At 42.7% G+C, this 14,899-nt stretch overlaps 1 annotated feature.

Annotated features, from left to right (window-relative positions):
- Positions 1,715–1,884: an enhancer, noted in NCBI's record as "experimental_79588 CRE fragment used in MPRA reporter constructs". NCBI's record gives its function as "activates a minimal promoter by MPRAs in K562 erythroleukemia cells, with activity observed for both the introgressed and non-introgressed 4:38270033 variant alleles {active_cell/tissue: K562}" and the evidence as "EXISTENCE:reporter gene assay evidence [ECO:0000049][PMID:34662402]".

The following is a 14,899-nucleotide window of genomic DNA, read 5'->3' as shown; positions in this document are numbered from 1 at the left end:
CTGTATGTTCCTGGGTGATATTTTCTAGATACAGTAGCTAAAACCTCTGAAACAAGGTCTTAACCAAATGGGAAAAGTGAATAGTGGGAAAAGTACACTTTGTAGAAGGGCAGAAGACAGAAGATTAGCCAGCAAGCATCCCAGAGAAGTGTGGAGTCCTGGGAGGTCCCATCCAGTGTACAGAGTCGGTGCTTCCTGGGAAGCAGTGAGAATAAGGCCGTGGATAGGCACAGAATTCACAAGAGAAGGCCACCTTCTGTCAGGCGCTCGGTAGCCCTGCCCAGGTCAACTGAGGCTGAGCACTTTGTCAAACAAACAAACAGAAGCAGCCCTTCTGTAACTGCAAGTATCACAACATAAAGCGCTTTTGGAGTGAGGAGCGTAAAGCAGAAGCAAGGGTCTTCTCACTGACGGGAACATGACGGGAGACTCTTAGTGCTTGAGGCTTGGAAAGTGGGTGTCTGGGAGCCAGGAATTCCTCTGAAATAATCATACCACTGTGATGGCCCAACTGAAAGACATGTAGCAATTACCCAAATGTTAAAGTATTTGGCTGTTTGGGGAGCCCAAGCAATTGTTTGGCTCTATCCCACGTGAGTGGTAGCACTTGTGCCTCTACATCTTCTGGGGGTTCTTGGGTCAGGAGGGGGCCCTCTGGATCTTCTCTTCTTCCCCATCACTTCCATCTTGAAGCACACGCTCCCTGGATTAGTGCGGTGAATGGGTCGCCTTACTATTCCACTCGGACTGCACCCACCAGCAGCACGCAGCTGCTTTCCATTGATTTCCTTCAAAACACCCCCTACACAGGCTCAAGTGAGGTTCTGAAAAGAATTACAGAGGCCCAAAGTCTAAACATTTCCAATCAGACGGTGGACTTTCCTTTTGCCACGTTCCCAGTGACCCCCCTGCCACGCCTTTGACACCTCCATCTTGACTGAGACCTTCTTATTCTTTGTTTTCTGCCTGCTTATCCTTGGTTTCTTTTCATCCCAAATTCAGTTCAGTTTTTAATGCAGATGAATTCATCTCCATCTCCCCTAGATGGTTCTTGACACACCACTGCACAACTGAAGATTCATTACTGTGCCCTGCCAAGCCCTGGACAGGCCAGGCCAGGTGCTATCCTTTTAGTGGCAACAGAGAACCAGAAATAGGCTTGAAAATGTAACCTCTCTTTTCTCTCTCCCTCTAGTACTGCAAGAGAAAGGAAGCACTCGAAAGGTAGATTCTTTGTTTGAGTTTATGCCACATCCCTTAAAGCAGTTTGGGTTTCAGATAACAGTTCTCCTCCTCATATTACATAGCCAACAAGGTAGAGAAAGCATCAATTTATGGACCAAAATACTCAGTTTCCATTCCCAGGGTTGCCAAATGACCTTGGATAAGTCACTTTACTTCCCTGAGACTCGGTTTCCCTGTTGGTAAAGGGCCACAGTTATGTCTCACAGAGCTGTTGTGAGGCGTGAGAAATCACACAGAAATCTTTCAGAATGGTAAAAGACTATATAAATAGGTGATTGTTAGTCATCATTAGCTAGAAAACTACTATTTATGCAATCGATGATCAATCAATGGGGTAAGCTGTTGGTTGGTTAATGGGTTTTCCCACACTGTGCCTCAGAGAGCTGAGTGACAAGGAAAACCCAAATAAGTTGACTCAATGGCCAGTTCCACTGGCCTGAGAGTCAGGCTGTCCTGCTGCCAGGGGCAGACAGGCCGCACACCTAAATGCAGAGGATAATGGGGCAACTAGGGGTGATGCTGAGAGGAAACTGGCATTTTTCACAGTCTTAGGAAAAAAGAAGAGAGGGACAATGTCACCAGTGGATCCATGTGGGGGCTGACATCATGGGGGAACTGGCAAGGCCTTCTGTATGTGAGGCCTCTCACTCCTTCGTGTTAAAGCCAAACACAGAGAAGTGAAATACAAGGTGACTTTCCCTTTTGGTTTGGGGTGACTTTCCATTAACTGCTAAAAGTTATGTTATTGTCTATAACTTAGCAACAACCATTTCCAAGATCTCCTGATTTCTTTATCATTATTATTTCAGTCTGTTTCTTTGGATATCTTTGCTGTAATCAGTGAGTTTTAAACTAAAGCAAGTTCTTAGTAATGCAAGTCCCTGAGATACGTCTCTGAATAAAGGACTGCAAGACCCACTACGTTTAGGAAATAGACCATTTTCATTAAAGAACCACAACACACATTTGCATTTTAGAGCTCCCAAGAAATACTGAAGAGACCTGTTTAACTTTATTTAACTATGATTTTCCATGCTGAATCCACTCCTACAACTCTCTTTATTTTTGTTAAAGAACATTTGTTAACAACCAATAGAAATAGTTCCCAAGCAAGAATATTTGAGGAAAGTCGCTTTGCTGGACATTTCTATCTACCAGCAGGTTCATCTTCACCTTAATTCACACTTCCCTGTGCCCAGAAAGGCTGACTTCTATGGACTGCATCATGAGTTACTTGCCCTCTGGCTTCTGTGTCCAGCCAATAGAGAGTGGGGTCAGGGAATTGATTTCCCTAGCTCCTTCCTTTCAAGGTGAATTTCTGTTTCTACCCCAAGACCACAGTGCCCTCTGTGTGCAGTTACTTTCTCTAGGATCCAGTAACCAATCCTTCTTCTTGCCCCTTCAGGCCAGGGTGGTACCTGTGCCCTGGTGCTGCTAACCCCAGGTTCCTGCTCTGTCCATGGTTGGTTTCCCTTAACTCTGCCCATTCCCATAAAAGTATAATTTACATACCTTTTTTAATCACTTTTTTTTTAATGCATGCACCTTTAGTCCCAACTACATGGGAGGTCAAGGCAAAAGGACTGCTTAAACCCAAGAAATCTGGGCTGTAGTGTACTATGCTGATCAGGTGTCCACACTAATGTTCCAATGGTCGGCGTCAATATAACAACCTCCTGGGAACAGGGGACCACCAACCACACTGCCTAAAGATGGATAAACCTGCCCAGATTGGAAATGGAGCAAGTCAAAACTCCCGTGCTGATCAATGGTGGGACTGTCCCTGTGGAGAGCTACTATACTCCTCAGCAGCATCCCAGTCTCTAAAAACAAAAATATATATATATATATATTTTTTAAAATACTCTTCTTAATTACTCCATTAGCATACACTCCCATTTTCCCACCAGGATCCTAACACACTGCTTTAGTCAGTGTCCATGAGGGGATAGCAAAAAAGTCTAACCTGGTAACATAAGGGAAATAGTTTTAAAATCTAGTTTATTACCACTTGCAGTTCGAATCCTGTAAGATATGCAAAACAGGGCATAGACTGTCTGTGTCATATTTAGATCCCTGCAATGGCTCAGCCTGATGTCACTGGGCCATTAGTCCCCGTCCTGACTCATCATGCATTATGATCTCACAGCCTTGAAAAGGGCTTTGACAAGGCCAGAGCCACAAGAGCCCAGCCATATCCTCAGCTGTTGACAAAGACTTCCAGTTCCTTTTAGGATATTCAGAATTCTAAGCTGGAACACTGGTCGGGAAAAACTTCGTTTTTGAAAAAGCAGTTTTGATGCCAGATGCCAAATGCCAATCTAATGAAAGGCATCTGCAGTGGGTTCTCCTTTACAAATGGGAAACACTCTCATGGGCTTTCTTGCCAGGATTTTTGAAGACTGTGAAAAAGCAATTTCAATAGACAGGTCCCATGTCCTTGGTCAGTTTTGAAACATGTACTGAATGGCTACTGATGCAAGTGCTAGGGCCTGGGGACTGGTGAGAGGAGGAATGGAAATGAATGAAAATGTGGTCCCTTCCCTTGAGGAATTGACAATATCATTAAAAGAAAATATATAATCTCAATATTTGACCCCAACCATATACAGCACAAAATAGTCATTATAAATAGTTTGGATATCTAATACAAATTTAAAAGGTAAAAGTCTTTATATGTAGTTCAGTGTTGAGAACAGCTTTTGTATGTCTGTCCGCTCATGCTTGTGTCTGTGTGTCTATCTATGTGCATGCCAAAAAAATCTCCATTTTTTTTTTGTTTCGTTTTGTTTTGAGATATAGTCTCACTCACTCTGTCATCCAGGCTGCAGTGCAGTGGCGCAATCTCAGCCTACTGCAACTTCGGCCTCCCAGGTTCAAGCAATTCTTCTGCCTCATCCTCCTGAGTATCTGGGATTACAGGCACCTGCCACCACACATGGCTAATTTTTGTATTTTTAGTAGAGATGGAGTTTTACCATGTTGACCAGGCTGGTCTCAAACCCCTGACCTCAAGTGATCCACCCGCCTCCGCCTCCCAAAGTGCTGGGATTACAGGTGTAAGCCACTGTGCCCAGCCTCAAAGAAATGGAGTTTAGAAACAGCATGGTAAAAGGAAAAGATTATTGTCTACGTTTGCAGTTAATTAATAGCTACATGAGCAGAGGGTAAATTACTTAATCTTTCTAAAATTTCCTCACCTGAAAAGATAGGCATAAATGAAAGATACCAAGTAAGTAGAAAACAAGCACCATTCTCATGAAAATTCATAAAATAAGATAAACAAAGGAAACTAGACCAAGCTGGCACTTAGGAAGAACTCATAAATGTCAATTCTCCTCCCTTCCTTCAGACAAAAAGGGGTTCTGAAATCTATTTCTAGTTTGTTTGTAAAGGCTTTGTAGAGAAGGTGACTTTTAAAGGATATGATGAATAAAAGGGAAAGGCCAACAGAAATCATGCCCCTTTCAGGTCCTGTGCCAGGGAGTAGGGATCAGAGAATTGGAAAAAAAGAAAAATCAGTGTCCATATAAAGGTCATGCAATTCATTCTGTTGCCTCTAGAGAGAATTAAACTTAAGCCAGTCTAGAAAAATACTTTCTTTTCTAACAGAATTTCTAGAAAAAATAGTTCAACAACTTGCATAGATAATGTCTCCCAGGGCCACTCCAATTTTGTATCCAAACTTTTACATTCAAGAACTTCTCTCTACTTTTTAATAGCCTCTCATCCGCAATTTCATCTCCACTGCCCGACCCCGATCCTATGCTCCCTGAGATAGCATAAATTTACCCAAAATTCATCTGCTGGCACTCCCTATTTTTTTTAGGCTATCATTTGTACTCCCTTTTTCCAGTCTTCAGGAAAGTGTTATGTAGGTACCAGCCTGACATGGGAAGGAGACTGGAAATAAATTTAACTTAGGTCCTGAGGTGCCTTAATCCCAGGTAAACTTTAAAAATCACCTGGAGAAGAACTGACACTTTGTTTTGAAGAGTTGGAAAGCTTCTGAAGCCAATTCACACACCACCGCCACCACCACCACCACCACCACCACCACCTTCTTCTTCTTCTTCTTTTTCTTCTTCTTCTTCTCCTTTTCTTGACAGAGTCTTGCTCTGTCACCCAGGCTGGAGTGCAGTGGCGCGATCTCAGCTCACTGCAACCTCCATCTCCCAGGTTCAAGCAATTCTCCTGCCTCAGCCTCCCGAGCAGCTGGGACTACAGGAGAGTGCCACCACACCCAGGTAATTTTTTTGTATTTTTAGTAGAGACGGGGTTTCACCATATTGGCCAGGCTGGTCTCAAACTCCTGACCTCATGATCCACCCGCCTTAGCCTCCCAAAGTGCTGGGATTACAGGCATGAGCCATTGTGCCCTGCCCAATTCACACATCTGTGAACATTTATGTGTGTGCGTGTGTGAGTATAGTTTCTTTGCAAACTCCTTGCTTCCTCAAGGACTGTACCCCTCTAGCTCTATAACAGCCCATGAATCTCACCTAGGTAGCCTCTGATAATTGCAAATGCTGTTAAATGCAGAGCCTCAAAATATCATTTAAAAAGAGGTGACAATTAATTTCCAAACCCAAACACAGTTTATTTTGGAATAAAAGACAGTGCCACTCCGTAAACTGGCAGAAAACTAAGGAAGAGCTGGTGGAGAAGGACTTCCTTGTTTGTTTCTGGGGTTGTGCCCTGTGGACTGTTGTAATTAGGGGACTGGGTGGGGCCCTATGGGCTGAAAATGATAGGAAAGGTAGTGCCCTAATTAGTGGATTTTATTGGGATGATACTAGAGGTGTGGTTATTACTGTCTGTTGAAGTTCATCAACTAGACCTCATAAAGGGCAGGCTAGGGCTCTAAAGGGAAATGGGTATTTAGCAAATTGTCAGAAGCCTTTTAGTGGATGCCACTCAAAAACCAGGTACAGGCTGGGCACCGTGGCTCACGCCTATAATCCCAGCACTTTGGGAGGCTGAGGTGGGTGGATCATGAGGTCAGGAGTTTGAGACCAGCCTGGCCAATACGATGAAACCCGTCTCTACTAAAAATACAAAAATTACCCAGGCATGGTGGCGCACACCTGTAGTCCCAGCGACTCGGGAGGCTGAGCCAGGAGAATTGCTTGAACCTGGGAGGCAGAGGTTGCAGTAAGCCAAGATTGTGCCACTGTGCTCCAGCCTGGGTGACAGAGCGAGACTCCATCTAAAACAAAAACAAAAACAAAAAACAGTTACAAAGTAGTAATCTTCAGGACAGAAATGTGCTTGGTGTTTTTCTCAATGAAACTGTGTTTGGCAAGATGACACCATTGAATGCATGGTCCTTTTTGGTCTGTCCAATGAGCACTGAGCACCAGGGTACAACTGTGTGATCCTGAGTAATTAATTGCCAGTTGAATGGTCTGCTCTGCGTGGCTGTAAAATGTGACACTTGGTATAACTGGGAAGTGTGGGGTGCTCTGAAATCACAGGACAAGGACAACTGCAGGAATTATAAAGTCATGGGAAGCTTCCCTGAGAAGGTGACATCTCAGCCAAGAGCCAAGGTGGTGGCAATCTCTCTGCACCGAAAGATAAAGATCAAAATCCCACCTCCAGCATGGTTCACTGCATTAGCACTTCTCAAACTTTCATGAGTATCCAAATCACCTGGGGATCCTGTTTAAATGTAGATTGTGATTCAGCAGGTCTTGGGGTCCTGATGATTCTACATTTCTAAAAAGCTTCTGGTCTAAGGATTACTCTTTGAGTAGCAAGATGATGACATTCTGAAGTACTCAGCTGCTTCTATGCCACAGTTTGCCAGTGTGTAAAATTGGCTCCCAAGGATTGGAGAAACATGAATATGAATTCACCTGTAGCATCTTTTGACCTAATCACACTACTGACCAAATAATTGCTGATTAATTTATATATTTTGTGAGGAGCGTGGGGAGGAGGGAGGATCCCTGGAAGACTTACCAAACTGCTTTTCCCTAAATCTTAGGTTTTTCTTTACCAATTAAATATTTTTTTAAAACTCCTTTTCCTACTTTAGTTTTTGTACTATTATTAGTCAGATAACAGCTCCTAAAGCTGAATATATTATACAAAAGAACTGCATTATTTAAAATAATAGGCCAGGCACGGTGGCTCACGCCTGTAATCCCAGCACTTTGGGAGGCTGAGGCGGGCGGATCGCAAGGTCAGGAGATCGAGACCATCCTGGCTAACACAATGAAACTCCGTCTCTACTAAAAATACAAAAAAATTAGCCGGGCGTAGTGGCGGGTGCCTGTAGTCCCAGCGACTCGGGAGGCTGAGGCAGGAGAATGGCGTGAACCCGGGAGGCGGAGCTTGCAGTGAGCTCAGATCGTGCCACAGCACTACAGCCTGGGCGACTGAGCGAGACTCCGTCTCAAAACAAAAATAAAATAAAATAAAATAATAAAGTTCTTCAGCTAAAATTCAAAAGCTGTAGGTATCTTGTAGTTTTGGTATTTAACTGATTCCCTAATACATGCAATAATCTATGAACCAAGTCAGGGCCTGTGTATACTGATTTTATAACTAAGAAAACGTACTGCCCTAATTACTGGATTTTATTGGGATGAGTACCTTTCTGGTTAAACAGCATAACATTAATCTCAAAATTGCAATATTTATATTTGCAATCAAACAAATGTTAAAACCAGAGGCTTCGTGAATAACCATTAAATTCACCGATTGTACCATACCTTGACATCTTGGTTTTCCACAGCACCTCATCAAGAGACTAAGAGCGAGGGTATGGGGGAGTTTTTGAGAAAGCACCCACGATTCAGGGAAACAAAAATACGAGCTGGGTTCATCTCACATGTGTTAACAAAACATAAGCTAAATTCAGGCCAAGTAGACTTAGTTATTTTTAAAAGGAAATTATATATTCTGTTGATTGGCTCATCAGAACTATTCTCTTTGAGAAGACCTTGTTAATATCATTCTTTTCTTACCTTTAGGACATTTGGGATCTTTTTGAAAACTCCCTGTTCCTAACTTCTGCTGATTGCTTCTTTGTCTAATTCACACTCAGAATAATTTCTTAAGAAATTAGTGGTATGAGAGTAAGGACATGTTTATGCTCTACAGTGAGAAGATACCATCCCTCCTTATTTACCGAGCTTCTACTATGTGCTAGGAGCCCTGAATGCCCTAAGCAAACAGTGATGAGTAAAACAGATGTGTGCTCTGCCTTCTTGGACTTTTTGGTCTAGCTGGGGAAGCAGAAACTACGTAAGCAAACAAACAAATACATACATCAACAGGGTTCAGTGCTCGAGAACAACACGATGGGGGAGAGGGGTTGGATTCATCAGGATGGGCAGGATGGATCTGGCTCAGGAGGTAGCACTTAAACCCAAACTGAAGAATGAAAGGAAGCCACTGTGCAATGGCAGAGAACAGTGTTTTCAGCTAAGGGAACAGCATGTGCAAAGGCCTGGAGTGTTAAAGAAACGGAAATGAGTTAATATCTGCTTCTTAATGTCCAAAACTAGACCCTGGAGGGCTTAATGTTCCCTCTGCAGGAAAACAGTAAAACTATAGAATGTTCTGTGGTATAGAGGTTAAGAGCATAGACTCTGAAGACCCACTTATTCCTGGCTGTGCCATGCACTACCTGTGTGCCCTTGTGCAAATCCTTAAGCCTCTCCTTGCCTCAGTTTCCTCATCTGTAAAACAGAGAATAATAACCATCTCTACCTCATAGGGCTGTTGTGAAAATAAAGTGATGAGCAAGTTAATACTTGTTTGGCACATAATAAGCACTTTGTAAGTGTTAGCTCTTATTATGGATGAGTTATCAGGATCCGAGAGAAATGTGACAAGTGCTACTAAAACGGTGGTGAGAAAAAGTGCTGCAAAAGCACAGAGACAGGAAAAATAGAATTTCCATTGGGGGATATGGGTTTTAAAAGACTTGGTTGAGGTAGTTTTTGAACTGGATTTTGAAGGATGGAGAGAATTTCAGTGTCTAAAGGTGGTGAAAGCAAAACCAACTACCTCAGGGTCTTTTTTTCACTCCTCTTTTCCCTCATGTTCCACATCCAATTGATGATCAAGTCCTTTCTCTAATCACCCGCCTCTGCCTATTTTATTTATTTATTTATTTATTTATTTATTGAGACAGACTCTCACTCTGTCACCCAGGCTGGAGTGCAGTGGCACGATCTCAGCTAGCTGCAACCTCCACCTCCTAGGTTCAAGTGATTCTCCTGCCTCAGCCTCCCGAGTAGCTGGGATTACAGGTGTGTGCCACCATGCCCAGCTAATTTTTCATATTTTTCGTAGAAACGGGGTTTCACCATGTTGGCCAGGCTGGTCTCGAACTCTTGACCTCAGGTGATCTGCCTACCTCTGCCTCCCAAAGTGCTGGGATTACAGGTGTGAGCCACTGCCCCCAGCCCCACCCCTGCCTTTGCTCAAGCTGTTAATATGGTTTGTCTGGACCCTTGCAATCACAATGTCCCAGTCACTGGTCTCCTTTCATAGACTTCTGTGGTGCACTTACTACAACAGCACATGGACATGGTCTACTTATGTGCTTGTTTCCCTCAGGAGGCTGTGCCTGTTCCCTAGCTTTTAATAAATTCTTTCGAACCCAACTGCTATCTGCTATGGTTTCCCTCTGTATCCATCTGAGTCCAATTAGGAAAACAGAAGCCACTCTAGGTGTTTCCAGAAAGGGAATTTAACACAGGGAAATGCTTTGCAGGGGATGGAAGAGCTAAGAGGCCAACAGGGGGCCTTAGGCAATCCAAAGATTAGCATCTGCAGGAAGTACTGCCACCCCTAGGGCTGGGAGGAGTGGAGCCCAGAGGCTGGGGCTGTCTGACCAGGACTAGAACCACAGCCAGAGCCGCCTGGCAGGAAATGGGATGGTGGAGGGAGAGGCTCTTGGGCAGAGGAAATGAAGAAATGCAGCAGGAGATGCTGCCAAGGGCAGAGGGGATGAGAATACCCTGGCTTCTCCCCAGCTCCCTCCCCTCTAGGCTTCTGCCAGTGCATTACAATGGCCCATCCATCTGGAAGCCAGTTGGTAAGGGAGCCTGGGAAACGTGGTTCCTGTGACACAGGACAGAGCCAGGAGAGGTGGGGGACATGGCCGGAAGCAAACTGGTAAACTATGGGTGTCAGAGGCATGTGAACCAGGGCAACTCCGCCTTGAATAGGGTCTAGGTCAAATGAGGCTGAGACCTACTGGGCTGCATTCCCAGACAGCTCCGCATTCTAAGTCACAGAATGAGATGGGAGGTCGGCCCAAGATACAGGTCATAATGACCTTGCTGATAAAACAGTTTACAGTACAGAAGCCAGCCAAAGCCCACCAAAACCAAGAAGGCCATGAGAGTGACCTCTGGTGGTCCTCACTGCTACACCCCCATCAGCACCATGACAGTTTACAAACGCCATGGCAACGTCAGGAAGTTACTCTATATGGTCTAAAAAGGGGAGGCATGAATAATCCACCCCCTGTTTAGCATATCATCAAGAAATAACCATAAAAACGGGCAACCAGTAGCCCTTGGGGCTGCTCTGTCTATAGAGTAGCCATTCTTTTATTCTTTTACTTTCTTAATAAACTTGCTTTCACTTTACTCTATGGGCTCACTCTGAATTCTTTCTTGCACAAGATCCAAGAGGCCCCTCTTGGGGTCTGAATCGGGACCCCTTTCTGGTAACATGGGCAGCCCTCTGATTCTTCCCCATACTGTCACCAGCATTGTTTCTAAAATGTGGATCTGACCTTGTTGCTGCCCCAATTTCCCTAAATGTGATCAGAACAGCTTTTTGTTAACTCAAGGATAAAGACCAAACTCTGCAGAAATTTTAAAAATGGCAATCGAAGTACCATATCTCAGAGGCTGGTCAGAAAGGACCTCCCTGAGAACACCACCCCACAGCACCCAGGTACGACCTGATGCCCAGCGAGAGAAGGAATGACCTCGCTCACCTCTACGTGGGGGTGGAATTGAGGATGCTCGAGCACCTGAAGCTAGTCCTGTCAGGAATGGTCCCCAGGGTCACCATAACAAGAATAAAAGATAGTAAAGATACATGTGCATGCTCAGATCACCACTGATGCTCTTGAAATGCGACTGGAAGCATCGTCTAATTTTATCCTCATAACAACAGGAAGGAGAGACAACTCTGTACTTCACTAGTTGTAATTAGTACCCACATGAGACCGCAGAAAGGAGAAATGATATGATCGAGGGCTCAGAACCAGCCAGTGAGGAGGTCATCTCTAGAACCTGGGGCCTTTCCTCCTGGTCAAAGGCAATTTTCATTAGATCCTCGAGCCCAAACCTGGGGTCCTAAATCTCTAAAAAGTCCTAGAAATGAGGAATGGGTCTTGACAAAGCGTTTTTGATGCACAAAATGTTGATCAGAAATTGCACATTAAGTTGGTATGCTAAATTAAATGTGAGGTTGATTTTTTTTTTCATTGAATTTCAGTTCTCTTAGCTTGGTAACTGAACTGAAATTATTTGTGAAAATAATTAATTAATTAATTAAGTCTATTTCATGGGGAAAAAAGTAAGCTCCAACACACAGGAAATGAAGAAGGCAGAGGGGCAGAAGGAGAAGGCTGAGATCTATTATTATATGATTCTTGATCCCTGCCGCTACATGTAGCCCTTCATAAAGTCCTCTATGCTTTGTTTCTTGGCTAGAATTTTTCTATTAAGAAGGGTCCAGATGAATTTAGAAGGAAGGTTGTAAATTATGGATAAAATAAAGAGAGCTTAAAAATGAACTTAGATAAATTGGTGCAAACTCTCAGTAGGGCAATTTGACAATATCTATGTAAATATCCCTAAAAATGTACCTTTCCTTTGAGCCAGCAGTGTCATTCTTAGCAATTTATCCTAAAGAAAAAAATCATGGTTATTCATGGATATGTATATAATAATGCTTATTGAAACATTAATTTGAAAGTGACAAATTATATATAAACTAAATGTCCAACAATAGAGGATTATTTAAATAATCTGTGGTACATTTGCACGACAGAATTCCACGAGACCATGGAAAATATTGGTGTAGGAGAACATTTATATAAGATGTTAGGAAGTCAAAGCAAGCTTTATATTTAAAAAATGTATTGCATCAAGCTGGGTGTGGTGATGCACGCCTATAGTCCCAGCTAATTCTGGGCTGTAGCACTCTATACCAGTCGGTGTCTGCATTAAGTTCGACATCAGTATTGTGACCTCCTGGGAGCCAGGGACCACCAGGTTGCCTAAGAAAGGCGAACTGTGGCCAGCTGCGGTGGCTCATGCCTGTAACCCCGACACTTTGGGAGGCTGAGGCAGGTGGATCACAAGGTCAGGAGTTCGAGACCAGCCTGGCCAATATGGTGAAACCCCGTCTCTACTAAAAATACAAAAATTAGCCAGGCATAGTGGCAGGTGCCTGTAGTCCCAGGTACTCGGGGGGCTGAGGCAGGAGAATCTCTTGAACCCGGGAGGTGGAGGTTGCAGTGAGCCGAGATTGCGCCACTGCACTCCAGCCTGGGCAACAGTGCAAGGCTCTGTCTCAAAAAACAAAAAAAAGAAACAAGAAAGGTGAACTGTCCCACCTCAGAAACAGAGTAGGTCAAAACTCCTGTGCTGATTAGTAATGGGATTGCACCTGTGAATAGCCACTGCCATCCAACCTGGGCAACATAACAAGATGCTGTTTCAAATATATATATATTACATCAAGTTGTTAACATTGGCCATCTGTGGGTACTGTAATTATGGGATGATTAAGGTTTTCTCTTTTTATTTATTTCTTTTTTATTTTTAGAGATGAAGGTCTCACTATGTTGCTCAGGCTGTCCTCGAACTCCTGGGCTCAAGCAATCCATCCGTCTCAGCCTCCCAAGTAGCTGGGATAATAGGTCACCACACCTGGCTCTGTTATATGTTTTCTAAACTCTCTAAACTGAACACAATTTGGTTATCTTGCTGTTTCAAATTGTAAATGCATCTAGTAATGTTCTGGTAATGTTCAATGATTATTTTAAAATCAGGTTTATTAAGGTATATTCTGAATATACAGAAAAATACACTTTTTAGTATATAACCCTATACATTTGACAAACATGTGAAACACAATTAATGTATAGATATCCCATCACCCCAAAAAGTCCCCTTGAACCCCTCTGTAATCAACATCCTCTCTGCTGTCAATCAAATGCCTGGCAATCACTGATCTCTTTTCTTTCCCTCTAATTTTGTCTTTTCCAGAATGTCATATAAATTACATCATATAGGATGCAAACTTTTGAATCTGGTTTCTTAAACTTATAAATATTTTAAAAGTAACTCATACTTTTGTAGGAATCAGTAGTTCATGGTATGGATAGACTACAATTTATATATCCATTTAAGAGCTGATGGACATTTGGGTTGTTTTCAGTTTTTTTAAATTATAATTACAAATAAAGCTGCTATAAATATTCTCAGAATTTGTTGTAGACATGTGTTTTCATTTCATGTATGTTTCATAAATACTTAGAAGTGAGAGTGCTGGGTCACATTCTAAGTGCATGTCTGACTGTAAGAAATAGCCAAACTGTTTTCCAAAGTGGCTGCACCATTTTACAGACGTTGCTCTGAAGTCTCATCAGCGGTTGCTGTTGCCAGATTTTTCACTTATTTGCTGTTTTTAAAAAATTTTTTAAAGCCATTATGATAGGAATGTAGTGGTATCTTGTGATTTTAATGAAACTGGCCCAATTGTCTCATATAACTGATATTTATGAGTTTTTTTGTTTTTGTTTTGTTTTTTATAGAGACAGGGTCTTGCTATGTTGGCCAGATTAGTCTTGAACTCCTGGTCTCAAGCGATCCTCCTACCCTGGCCTCCCAGAGTGCTAGGATTACAGGCATGAGCCATTGTACCTGGCCCAAGTTTTTTGAATAAACATAGAATTTGACCCTCCAAATCTTAAAACTTACATTTGTCTCATCTGAGTCTCTTTCTCAGGAAACTGACCCTCAAACAAGGGACTGAAACTCACCAGATTGCCATATCCAGACAATTAGAGGCCATACCCCCATTCGTTGAGATGGCTTCCCTACCCCTCCCTAATTCCTTCCCACACATAGCTAATTTGAACTATTAAACTATTTAAACACCCCAATTTTAGTCAGTTGGGGAGACAGATTTGAAACTGATCTCCCATTCTCCTTGGCTGTTGCACCCGATTAAAGCCTTCTTCCCTGGCAATACTCATTGTCTCAGTGACTGGCTTTCTGTACAGCAAGTGTTTGCATTTTCTTTAAAGATGCATTTCATTTGCATCTTTTCATGTGGTTATTTGTATCTACATCTGTTCTTTGGTGAAAAGTCTGTTCAAATCTTTCACCCATTTTTAAAGGGATTGTTTGTCTTCTTATTAGTGAGTTACAAAAGAGTTCTTTATTTGTTCTAGATAAAAATCTCTTATCAGTATGTAGTTTGTAAATATTTTCTCCCAATCTGTGGCTCATTTCTTAACAGTGTTTTTCCAAGAACAAAAGTTCTTAATTTTGCAGAAACCGAACTTGTTAGTGTCTTATGAGTTGTGCTTTTGTAATTAAGTATCTAAGAAATCTTTCCTTTCCCAAGGTCACAAAGATTTCTTTTTATGTTT

Source organism: Homo sapiens, chromosome 4 (assembly GCF_000001405.40).
Source record: "Homo sapiens chromosome 4, GRCh38.p14 Primary Assembly".
Lineage (NCBI taxonomy): Eukaryota > Metazoa > Chordata > Mammalia > Primates > Hominidae > Homo > Homo sapiens.
The sequence above is the reverse complement of the archived record's forward strand: the minus strand, read 5'-3'. Positions and strand labels throughout refer to the sequence as shown.